At 47.0% G+C, this 12,694-nt stretch overlaps 1 protein-coding gene across 4 annotated transcripts in view, besides 1 other annotated feature; it reads left to right on the forward strand.

Moving 5' to 3' along the window:
- MSN (moesin) overlaps positions 1 to 12,694 on the forward strand; it is a 153,555-nt gene that overhangs the window by 76,534 nt on the left and 64,327 nt on the right. For 2 of the 4 annotated variants that reach the window (XM_047442130.1, NM_002444.3), the window contains exon 1: positions 2,744 to 2,943. The exons of the other annotated variants lie outside the window; for them this stretch is intronic. Coding sequence is in view for 1 of the 2 variants with exons in the window: in NM_002444.3 (NP_002435.1) it covers positions 2,932 to 2,943 (12 nt within the window). In the remaining variant the exon portion in view is untranslated. Of the gene's footprint in view, positions 1 to 2,743; positions 2,944 to 12,694 lie in introns of those variants that run through there. 4 annotated transcript variants of the gene reach the window in all.
- Positions 2,436 to 2,765: a silencer, noted in NCBI's record as "silent region_20881". NCBI's record gives its function as "represses an Ori minimal core promoter by ATAC-STARR-seq in GM12878 lymphoblastoid cells {active_cell/tissue: GM12878}" and the evidence as "EXISTENCE:reporter gene assay evidence [ECO:0000049][PMID:35858748]".

A 12,694-nucleotide genomic window follows, 5' to 3' on the forward strand; every position in this document is an offset into this window, starting at 1 on the left:
AGCTAATTTTTGTATTTTTAGTAGAGATGGGGTTTTCCCATGTTGGCCAGGCTGGTCTTGAACTCCTGACCTCGAGTGATCTGCCTGCCTCAGCCTCCCAAAGTGCTGGGATTACAGGTGTGAGCCACCACACCTGGTCCTTGTTTCCCTTTTAGTAGTGTCTTCAGCTACTTGACACTCTCTACCCAACTCTCCCCTGTGTATGTGTGTTGTGGGGAGTGGTTGGCATGGGAGGTGGGGAATGACACAAGGGAGTTTCCACTTTCCAGAAAGTTGGAGTCGCCAAGTAAATTCTTTGTCTTTAGGCATTTAGCTTCATGCCAGGTCCCTGTAGGTTCTAGGTGAACATGAGTGAAGAAATCAGTTGAGTTCCTTGAACATCTGGTGGAAAAGGGCCAATGGCAGTATTAAGGCGTGTGATGAGCTGTCATTGCTACTCCTGCTGCTGAGGCTTTCTGGTGAGTGCTGCTCTTCCTTGGGGACAACTGCTCATGGAGACTGTTTGGGCTTTCCGATGAGTGCTGCTCTTTGAACAAATGCTTAGCTCAAGGAAATGATCTTGGCAGGGAACTTTGTTTACCCTAGCACACATCAATGAATCTTGTTAGCAGTGAGAGAAACCGAGGCACACTGAATCGTGGACACTGTTGGTCTGGGAAGGCAAAGGAAGAGGATGGAATCAGACTACTGGTTCCTGAGTGCAAATGCAAGACCAGCCCATATGCAATCCTGTTAGGCTCATCTATTGTCCTAGGGAGTATACTTCCTTTCTCATCCCTTTATAATGTCAGAGTGGGAAAGGACCTTGGAAGCCCCGGAGTCCAGTCCTTTCTTGCTACAGAAATGGAAACTCAAGCCCAGAGAGGGGGAGGGAATTACCCAAGGCCACATAGTGGTCATAGGATGAGTTAATGGCAGAGCTATACGTAGAAGCCAGGTGTCCTGACCTCTCAAGTATCCTTTCCATTGTCTCAAACTGGCTTACCATCTGTGGTGCCTTACCTCACAAAGGATACTCAGACCATGCCTTCACATGGTTGCCAGTGGAGAGGAGGAAAAAAGGACTATGGCCAGCCACTTTCAAACTAAAACTCGGACTTATTTTATTTTACTTTTTTTGGAGACGGAGTCTTGTGCTATTGCCCAGGCTGGAGTGCAGTGGCCCAATCTGGGCTCAGTGCAGCCTCCGCCTCCCGGAAGCGATTCTCCTGCCTCATCCTCCCGAGTGCCTGGAACTACGTGCCATCACACCCGGCTAATTTTTTTGTTTTTTTTTTTCGCATTTTTAATAGAGATGAGGTTTCGCCATGTTGAGCAGGCTGGTCTCAAACTCTTGACCTCAAGTGATCTGCAGGTCTTGGCCTCCCAAAGTGGTAGGATTACAGGTGTAAGCCACTGCACATGGTCTCACTTACTATTATTATTATTATTTTTGAGACAGAGTTTCACTCTGTTGCCCTGGCTGGAGTGCACTGGCTCAGTCTTGACTCACTGTAACCTCCGCCTCCCGGGTTCAAGCGATTCTCCCTCCTCAGCCTCCCGAGTAGCTCGGATTACAGGCACGTGCCCGGCTAATTTTTGTAATTTTAGTAGAGACGGGGTTTCACCATGTTGGCCAGGCTGGTCTTGAACTCCTGACCTCAGGTGATCAGCCCGCCTCAGCCTCCCAAAGTGCTGGGATTACAGGAGTGAGCCACTATGCCCGGCTCTCACTTATTTTTTTTGTATAGATATGGGAGGGGGTCTTGATATGCTCCCCAGGCTGGTCTCGAATTCCTGGGCTCAAGCAATCCTCCTGCATCAGCCTCTCAAAGTGTTAAGATTACAGTCATGAGCCACCGCACTCAGCCTAAAACTCAGACTTGACCAGACGACTTCAACAGTCTAGAACACTGCCATCCTGGGATTCTGTGACCTTGACAAGAAGGAGAAAGGGAGCTGGCAGACAAACCCCAAGGGTGTGGACTAGGGAGGTCACATCTAACCTGAGGGAATTATAGCCAGCCCCATCAGGACATCAGAAAGTGAATGTACTGGGAGAGGGGCTAAAGGATCAGGTCACTGATTTGAGGAAGGTGAAGACTGGGATTTAGATGAAGGAAAGATAAATGAGGACTGAGCAAGGATGGGTAGGAAATATGATGGGGAGAGTCCTACGGAAGAGAATGGATGAAGTGTTTTAAGAGGTGAGGCAGTTTAGCCAAAAGAAGAGAAGTTTCCTGTGGACCTGAGATCTTCAGGCCTTTGAGGAGCTGTTAGGGACAACAGGGGATCTGTGTGGCCTCAGGGAGCAGAACTGAGATCCATGGATGGAAGCCATAGAGAAAAGGAGTTCAGACACGGCAAGAACTTTCTAAGAGCCAGAGCTGTCTAGAGAAGGAAAAGATAGGTAGTGAGCTCCCCATCAGTGGAAAGTTGCAGTCAGGGGCTGAGTAAGCATCTGTCAGGGCCCAGGGTCTGGGCCCTGAGTGGGGGTGGGGCTGGAAGGCCAGGACGTGGAAGGCTAGGGGCTGTGACCAGGGTGGGAGAGGAGCCGGGTGGGTCTGGGTGGGGAGTGGTAGCTACCCTAGGTCCGCCCGGGCCCAGCCGGGCCCCCCACGTGGCCGCTGTGGCCTGGCTGCGCCGGGCCTGGCCAGGCGGGGCTGGGCGGGGCAAGGCCAGCGGTCGGCGGGGAGGCGGGCGCGAGGGCGGGGAGCGGCGCGGAAGCCGGGCCACATAAAGGAGCGGGCGGCGCGACAGGGGCGGCTCTTTCCTGGGTGGGGTTTGTGAAGTCGTGGCCCGTTAGCAGGAAGCCTAACAGTCGCCCCGACGCTAGTGAGGGACCCAATCTGAGTCCCCGGCCAGCCGAATCCAAGCCGTGTGTACTGCGTGCTCAGCACTGCCCGACAGTCCTAGCTAAACTTCGCCAACTCCGCTGCCTTTGCCGCCACCATGCCCAAAACGGTGAGTGCCGGAGGTGGGCGCTGTCGACCCCAATGGCTCTGGCTGAGCCTCATAGCCCTTTGCTGATGGCTGAGGGCTTGGCCAGCCACCGGCCCGCCTGGGACGCCGCGCCCTCCGCCATAGCCAAGGGTAGGGAGGGGACCGGAGTGGGATCCTGGTCTGGTGCGCCCTCAGGGGTTGAGGGGGTGTCCAGGCTGGAAGTTTGGACGGGGCGAGGCCTGCCTCTTTCTCAGGTTCCAGTTCCCTGTGTCTGAGATGCAACAGTCAGGACGGCTTCGTTGGGGCCTGGGGTTTCCCCTTTTCCCTGATGGGCCATGGGCACAGAGGAGAGGATTCTGGTCCAGAAGACAACACTTTCCCCAACCCAGGAATTGGCACCTTTCTGGGGCAAGGCTGCCAATGTCCAAGAGGGGACATGGGAACAGAGAAGCAGGGAGAAAGGAGGGAGCCGCTCGGGGCGGATCCGGCACCCCCACTCATCTTTCCCACAGCCTCACCGGGTGGCTCCAGCTGTTTTCCACTAGGAGGTGAGGAGAGAGATGTGAGGAAATCGTCATCGAGGCTGCACCCGAGAGCACCAACACTTATTTAGGCACCAGTCTGAGGAGAGGCCTACCCCATCTCCTGGGAGAGAGGACCGGTTTCTCCCTCCTCTCCACCTCCAAATCCCTGCCCCTCCTATTGCTTAATGCCTCTCTATCTCCTCCTATCCCCTCCGGACTATTTTGTGTGGTGTGGGTTTTCTCGTGGGGCCACACCTTTCTAGAGTGGTGGTTGATTTGGGGATGCGTCTCCACCCCACTGGCTGTTACGAGAGGAACAGAAGCCTCCTGGGAGTGGGGATAGGGGGGCCGGATGCCCAGGAGGGAGAGGGGAGGAGGGGTGTGCCTGACTAATGAGCTCTGCTTGCTTTTGTGCAAGTCATGCCAAATGGCTGCTGAGGCCCTTCCCTTGCTCAGAAAGGCCTGGTGACCACCCTGGCTTGAGTCCCTTAGGCCAAACAGCTTGTTGAGCTGGCCTAGGCAATGCAGTGCTCCCAAACATGTCTCCCCAGGACTGCTTGAGCCTTGTAGAGGTGAGATAGTGACTAGTAGCCTTGAAAAGGGCTGAAGGTCCCCTGGGATGAGAGGAGGAGAGTTGGGGGCCCAGCCTTTTGGGTTTGTGATGAGCTTTGGTTGCCACGTTACTGTATACCAGCCTCACTGCCAAGTCGTTCTTGCCTTTCCAGAACCTTGTCCTTCAGAAACACCAAGTTTTCAAAAAGTATGTGCTTTCACTGTCTATCTCCTTTAAATTGCTTGTGGTTTTAGGACATGAGGCTTTTACACACTTTGTTCCCTAGTCCCCGCCCCCAAAGAGAGAGAGTAATGGTTTTGGAGAGAGGGGAAAATATCCCATTGTCTGCCAAAACAAGATTATAAAGATCCTGTCAGGAGCGGCTCTTTGGGTCTCTCTCTGTGGTTGACTCCTGACTCCTCTTAAGGTGCGGCTTTGCCTGAACAGTTGGGTGGATCTCTGGGAATAGACATTGCTCCACGGTCTTTCTTCTGTAGTGGCATATCTCATCCTCAGTTCTGAGATAGCCCACTTTGAAACACAGCTTCATGGGCCTGGAAGTTGCTTCAAACTTGCATTAACCGTCTCATCTGAGTCAAAGTGGCAAAGAAGACAAGACAGCGTGTTTATTGTTTTCCTGGGAATGGAGAGAGAATGGAGTATAAGCTGTTTGTAGTCAGGCCTGGAGTAATGAGGGTACCTAAATACTGAAGGCATTTTTATGCAGATTGACTGAAACCTGAATCAAATTGGAAGGAGAGGGCTGAATTTTGATAGACTGGAAGTATTAGAGAATTTTCTATACTTTGACTCAAGGAATGGTCAACTTTTAGGAAAAGCAACTATATTATGTCTGTTAAGATCATAGAATCTTAACCTGAAAGGGACCTTGGAGACTATTTAGTACAACTCTCTTAAAAAAAAAAACTAAAACTAAAACAAAAATCTAATGAGGCTATTGAGACCTACAGGGAAAGACCTACCTAAGGGCACATGGTGACTGAGCCAAGATTGGGGTCCAGGCTTTCTGATGCTCATCTCATTGACCCTTTATTCTGACCCAATGATTGAGTTCTTGACATTTGAGTTCCCTTTCTTGCTCCAAACAAATTGCCCACTGTTCTCAGACCTTTATGGTCCTCAGATAAAAGGAAATGAGTAATTTGAGCAAAGTGGCCAAGGTTGACATTTGTGTGGTCTCCTGGTAAGGTTCGGTAGTGTCACCAGGTGCCTTCTGTTACTTTTCTTATTCCTCATACCAAGGCCAAGGTGTTCAGGGGCACACCCTAGTTCACTGAATACCAACCAGTAATTTTAATTAAAAGGGGAAAAAATTTCCCTTTCTCTGCTCCATTTTCATTTATGTGCTTTAGGCTATTTCTAGCGTGTGACAGATGGAGAAAGGTAGTGGAAAATCAAACTCGTTCATTCATATTGCAGCATGTCTACAACCTATCTAGGGTCGGTTTCACTTTTATAGCTAATTGTCCCTCCTAGTCAGCCCAACCTCCCCTACATTTGTTAAAACACGCCAGCCGGGCGTGGTGGCTCCAGCCAGTAATCCCAGCACTTTGGGAGGCCGAGGCAGGCAGATCATGAAGTCAGGAGTTCGAGACCAGCCTGACCAACATGGTGAAACCCTGTCTCTACTAAAATTACAAAAATTAGCTGGGCGTGGTGGTGTGCGCCTGTAATCCCAGCTACTCGGGAAGCTGAGGCAGGAGAATCGCTTGAACCTGGGAGGCGGAGGTTGCAGTGAGCCGAGATCACGCCACTGCACTCCAGCCTGGGTGACAGAGTGAGACTCCATCTCAAAAACAAAAAAAGCAAAAAAACAAAAAAACATGCCTCACTACCCACCGCCACCCTTGCCTTCTTGCCATTCCTTGGACTCTGCTTCTGGTTGCCAGTTTCCTGAGTCTGCTTTAGTAGCCAGAATGGAAAAGCTTATTAATTGCCATCTACATTTTTTGGTGATGATGACAGTTATATATATATATATATATATATATATATATATATATATATATATATATATATATATATTTAAAAAGGCCTTTCCCCCTCCCTACCTTCTTTAATTTTTTTCTTTTAGGATCACAAAGGCTTTGAGGCTTTCTTGGATTTCCTAAAAAAAGAGTGTTTTGAATTTTCGAGATGTTCTTGAGTTTCTGGTTTCCTTCCTTGGGATTTATTAGATGTTAGTATTGAAAAGGCTCTCCACAACTATAAAGTCCAATTCCTCTCATTGTATAGATGATGAAACTGAAACTCATGTTAGGGGGAGACTAACCTAGAGTGATGCAGTATGCCAGTTGCAAAACTAGGACTTGAATCTAGGTCTTAGTTAGAGGGTCAGTCTTGGTGAAACACCTCTTTGATCTGCTGGGGTTTTAGCCATAGATCAACAGATCAGGGGAAAGGCAATCGAGTGGTCATTTGATGGGACCATCAATGTGAGCAGACATAGAGCCTAGATCCTTGAAGTATTTGAAGGTGTTTGGGTCGGCATTCAGCTAAACTTTAACAGGGACTATGTGGACTGTTTATTCTCCTGCCATTCCTAGCATTACTTGAGCCACTCGAGTGGCACTAAAGTGGTACTTGGTAAATAGGAGCCAGATTCTTAGTCTTTTAACCCTTGAACCAGCCCTGCCTACAGACTTAAGTGGGGGGAAAAGGATCAGGAAGAGAGGTCATATGAGAGAGGATCCTGCATCTCTCCACTTGGGTTCTTCAGTTCACTTGGCCCTTTGTGAAAGTGTAGATGATAGAGACAGAGCAGGAACCATCTTGGGAATTTCCTTTACGCTTTTCTTTTAACAGCCCTCTGGGTAGGGAGGGGGCTGGTGGGGCAGGAAGGCCTTTGTGGGACCCACACCAACTAATCTATGCTCTCTCGTGTTAGGCTTGGAGAGGGAAAGGTTGCTCTGTGAGTCAGTGATAGAAGTAGTATTGATCACTAATCTTCTAACTTTCCATTCTCTAGCTGCCTGCAACAGTAGCTTGTTTTAGGGTGTTGTTCTTACTTTTCTCTTACCTCCTCCTCCCATGAAACTACTTTACCGAATGATGGAGCTGGAAAGGACATTTGGAAGTCATCTAGTCTATTTCCCCTGCCTCCAAATCTAATTCTCTCTGGATGAGATAATATGACAGCTACAATTATTCTGAACTCTGTTCTAGTGTTGCATGGCAACAGCCTGTCTTAGGTCCCTTTGTATCTTTCTGGGAGTTTCCCCCACTGGAATTTCTAGACTCAGGGTCCCCAGAGGGGAGAATATCTGGCTACCAACACTACCAGAGTTAGGCCTTTCATAACCATAGCTGCTGGAAATTTGGCATTGTTACAGATTGCTAATAGTCTGTCTCTAATCTTTCAAAGATAGAATTGAATTTATCATGTGCCTCTTTCCTAACTCAGAATCTTCTTTCCCTGCCACCTGCTCTATTACTTTGCTTGCAAAAAGGAAAAAACAGGGTACAGATGTGGTCTCCTTTGGGATAGTCTGTTGGTTCAAGTGAAGGGGGTGGTCTTTTCATGACTGACTGGCTTTGCTGTCCATCCCTCCTTCCATTTCATGCTTGAGAGAGCTGAAAAACTTTTCAATTCCAGGTTCTAATCTGTGGTATAGAAGTTGTCACTTTGGAGGATTAGCTCAGGATTCCATGAATTTGGAAGGTGGGTGCTGGGAAATGGAAAGCATCACTGAACTGAGAATTTTTCTTCTCTTTCCATATAAGAAGAACTTCTCTCCTGTCCTCAGTAAAGTGAGCCAAATGAAGTGGGACTTTAGGCAAGTCCTTTCTTCAGGCCCTCTGTCTCTCCAGCTTGTCATGAGGGAGCTGTACCAGTGATGGGTAAACTCTAGGAATCCCTCCAGTACTGATGTTTTTGAGAATCTTGATGGTATAAGAGCATTGAGTCTCTTATATGTATGTTCATTCCTTCAGACATTCTTTCTTCAACATTTGGGTACCTTCTATGTGCCAGGCAGTATTGGAAATACAAAATTGAACAGCGCTTATTAAAATGTATCCTCTTGTCCCATTATACTCCTTGAGTGCTGTTTCTTCTTAAGTGCTGAGTTCAGAATGGACTGTTTCTCACATGGGAGTTGGTTTGTTTCATTAGTAGATCCAAGAAGAATACTGGCTTGAGTACTCTTGGCCATTTCTTCCCGAGTCATGGGAGAGAAAGGGCTGTGTCTTTCCTTACTGTGGAAAGAAATAAACCAAGTGAGAGTATATTATGAAGACTGTGGGTTGACTGAAAAGCTTTGGACAAACACTAAAAGCCTCATAGATTTTCCTGCCATTCTTCCCACATTTTTCAGTGACCGCCTGCCTGATAGTAGAATAGTCCTTTTTATTTCTGCTGAAAGGAAGGCCCGGAAGCTACTAGATTATGTTTCAGATTTTCTTCTAACATGGTGAGTGTGGTAGTTAGATATATTGGTAGATATTGAGGCCTTCCTAAGGGCTCCTAAACAAACCTCATAAAGTATCTACCACCAGTGAGCTGAGGACTGGCTATTGTGGGGTACAGCTTTTTTTTTTTTTTTGATACGGAGTTTTGCTGTTGTTCAGGCTGGAGTGCAATGGCACGATCTCAGCTCACTGCAACCTCCACCTCCCGGGTTCAAGCGATTCTCCTGCCTCAGGCTCCCGAGTAGCTGGGATTACAGGCATGCGCCACCATGCCCAGCTAATTTTGTATGGGGTACAGCATTTTAAAGGCATTTGCATCTAGGGCAACCCAGAGCTTCCCTAGCCTTAAGCTTTCCTTTAGCTGGTTGTTCTGGATGGGCAGGGTTTCTCACAGGAGTGTTTTGAACCATGGAACAACTGAGCTGGCCTTAAATCTTCTGCCTCAGCCTTTATCTTCTTGATGGGGGCACTAAAGTCCAGAAAAGGGAAAGGATTTGAGTGAACTGGTGATAGTGCCAGGACTAAAACCTAACTTGCTTGGCTCCAGTGTAGGGGAGGGATGGTGAATGCCTACCTTCTAAATGGCACTCACTGTGAGGTGCTCAGTGTCTTCTCCCTCTGTGCTGGTGGTGACATGACCGTGGAGTTATGGCCATGGGAAGAGCAAGTTCCTCTGAGTGTGTAGAGCTGATCTCATGGGTTTCTTTATTTGGAAATGGCTCAGGCTCTGACCTTGTCTCAGGAACTCTTTGTAGCACTTCCCAGGAAGGTAAGTGTTTTGCTTTGGCTTGTGACGGGTGGTGGAAGGCATATGTGTAGGCTGAAGGGAGGTAGAGAGAGGACACTAGTCACATTTTCCTGCTTGAGACTAGGCCTTGCTGTCCTAAGAAACTTTAGAGAGTAATTTCTTCATCGTATTCATAGCCAGAGGGGTTAGGCAGCTTGTTCGAGGTCACATATAGTTGGTAACAGTATTGAAAGGAGAACTTGGATTTCCTAATTCCCAAGTTAGTGGTCTCCCACTGGACTTGGCTGTCTTAGAAGGATGACTCCACCCAGAGAGCACAGACTTCCAGAGAACTGGCTCTGTGGTGATTACATTAACAAGATGGGTACAATGGAGTTCCCCTAAAATGGTTTTGCTATAGCAAGTTTTTCTGGGATCTCCGATGACTGTCTTCTCTTCCTGTCTACCCCTCACCCCAGTTCCCTGCTTTCTCTTTGCCCTGTTTAATTTTGAGCTCTGACCTTTTTGAATTCTGAATTCTGACTCAGCGCTCCAGCTTGATCTGTCCCTTGAGTTAGGAGAACAGTATGGCACTTTTTCAATTTAGTGACAGTATTTGCTGCTGTAGCAAATTGTTTGAATGCAGACTAGAATCTCCTGGCCTCAAAGTTCACCACTCACCTCTAGGTGCTTATAGGCCAAGCCTGGGGCAGGAAGCTAAAAAAAGACCTTTCAAGCCTCCGTGGAAAGGAAGCATAGAGTAGTGTTGAAAAACAGACTCTGGAACTAGACTGCCTGGACTCAAATCTAGCTCTGCGACCAACTAGTTATATAGCCTTGGACAAGTTATTTAACTTCTGCACCTCATTTTCCTTAACCATAAATAATAATAGTACTTACAGAGTTGCTGTGAGGATTACATGAGGTAATTTATGTAAAGGGCTTAGAACTGTGCCTAGAATCTAACAAGTGATATACAAATGTTATGATTATTTACTGAATTTTACTATATGCCTAACTTTGTGCTAGATGGGATGGATAAGAAAGAAGACAGGTAGTTGAATTCTTACCATTTAATGAGTGGTTACTATGTACTATTTACCATAAGGGATAGAAATAAATGAAGGGATGATACAACTGCTGCCTTCAAAGATCTCCTATCTCCTATTTAATTGGGGATTTAGGGCTAATTCACTTAAAAACGGCTTGAGAAAAATATATACTTTGCATTGCATTTTCTACAACTTTTTGAGGAGAAAGGGTTTACTGGGACATGAACAGGGCCTTAAAGGGTGTGTACACTTGGGAGCAGTGGCCGTTCTGGGTGGGAAAGTGATGTGTTTTTGGTATGTGGGTGTAAACCAATGGCCCTAGACCAATGCTCTCTTGAAAGTTACTTTATCTGAAGTGAAGGGAGGCTTGAGCTGCTGACTGATTCAAGGGGAGCCACAGATATAAGCATAGATGAAGCTACTCTTTCTAGGGTAATTTGGATCCAACAATCCTTTCTTAATTGGCAAACAAGGGCCTGTGGGGGAGACCATACCTTTGGTTTTCCAGAATTGGGCAAATTAATTTTTTTTTTTTTGAGATGGAGTCTAGCTCTGTTGCCCAGGCTGGAGTGCAATGGTGCAATCTTGGCTCACTGCAACCTCCGCCTCCTGGGTTCAAGCGATTCTCGTTCCTCAGCCTCCCAAATAGCTGGGATTACAGGCATGCGCCACCACGCCCAGCCAATTTTTGTATTTTTAGTAGAGATGGGGTTTCACCATGTTGGCCAGGCTGGTCTTGAACTTCTGACCTCAGGTGATCCACCCGCCTCAGCCTCCCAAAGTGGTGGGATTACAGGTGTGAGCCACCACGCCCAGCCTGGGCAAATTAATTTTTAAAAATGTTGCTTTTGTTGCCTAAGTAGGTATGTGAGAGGGTCTTTTCTTCATGCTTACACATGAACTAAACCAAAGAATAGAGCTTGGCAATAACTTTATGTCAGCAGCCTAGAAACAGCTTTTAATTCTCTCATTGACTTTGCTATAAAATCAGGTATTTGGGAAAGGGTGGAGATGGCAGGGAGGATTTCTCAGTGTGTGGTTGTTAGAGGTGGAGGAGTATGACGTTTTCTGGCCAGGGCACAGCTGCAGCATCTGGGTCTTGAATTTGGAGAAAAGGCCTTTTGGGCGACTTTCAAAGCACAGCCCTTTGTCTGTGCCTAATGACACAGATACCAGATCTGATGCTCCTTTCAATCGGCTTGTTGTGGCATAAGGTAAGTGTTGACATAGCTCTTAGGCCACTAATATGGCAAATGGCTCTGTGCTTGCTTAGTAGAACTGTTTTGCCAGTTATCTTCTGTGATTGGTGACTTCGAATATTGAAGTTTCTTCCCATTCCTGGCAACCCTTCTACCTTGTGGGAATTTGATAGATACTTTGTGCATCCAGGGTAGTGATCAGGGCCTAATGAGAGAAGAGTTGAGATATGACAATTTGGTTGTACAAAACAAGATATAATCCTGAAAATTTTTTTCCTGGGTATATATTTGGGAAGTGACTGGGGCCAAGGCCTAGGAGGGGGAACAAGGCATACCTGTCAGGCTTGATCAGTATTTCTTTCCCTCTCTTTAGCCTTGGCCTCCATTAAATACCTGAGAAGGATCAAGTCTTATTTTTCTCAAGTTGTGTGTTTAGATAAGGTTCCTGATCTTACTTTCGTGATCTAATCTGCCTTCCCTCCAACCCATGATCCATTTCCTTTTTTTTCTTTTCTTTTTTTTTTGAGACGGAGTCTTGCTCTGTTGCCCAGGCTGGAGTGCAGTGGCATGACTTTGGCTCACTGCAACCTCCATCTCCTGGGTTCAAGAGATTCTCCTGCCTCAGCCACCCAAGTAGCTGGGACTACAGGTGTGCGCCGCCACGCCCGGCTAATTTTTATATTTTTTTTAGTAGAGATGAGGTTTCACCATGTTGGCCAGGCTGGTCTTGAACTCCTGACCTCGGGTGATCTGCCTGCTTCAGCCTCCCAAAGTGCTGGGATTACAAGCGTGAGGCACTGCGCCTGGCTGATCCATTTATTTTTTCAGATTCTCAGCCTGGATGTTTGATGAAGCTCACCAAGAGCCTCTTTTATCTGTTGTAATTTTTAACTGAGGTTGACTAATCTATGGTATAGAGTTGGAGGGTGAGGGTCAAGGTAACAGTCAATCTGGGCATCATTAGTTAAGTCGTACAAATCTTTGCTATTTTCAAGGGTTTTAAGTGAGCTAAACTCCTCTCCAAACATCCTTGTAGATACTTGTGGGAGACTGACTAATTCCTTTACAAAGAAGAAAAGTCACATAACTTCTTTGCCTTTTAATTTTCTTTTTCTCCAACATGAAAATATCAGCAATATTAGAAAGAGGCACATGGAGTTTGCGTGTGGTGGCTCATGCCTGTAATCCCAGCACTTTGAGAGGCTGAGGCAGGTGGATCATTTGAGGTCAGGAATTTGAGACCAGCCTGGCCAATATGGTGAAACCTTGTCTCTACTAAAAATAGA

This window comes from Homo sapiens, chromosome X (assembly GCF_000001405.40).
Source record: "Homo sapiens chromosome X, GRCh38.p14 Primary Assembly".
In the NCBI taxonomy this organism is placed as follows: domain Eukaryota; kingdom Metazoa; phylum Chordata; class Mammalia; order Primates; family Hominidae; genus Homo; species Homo sapiens.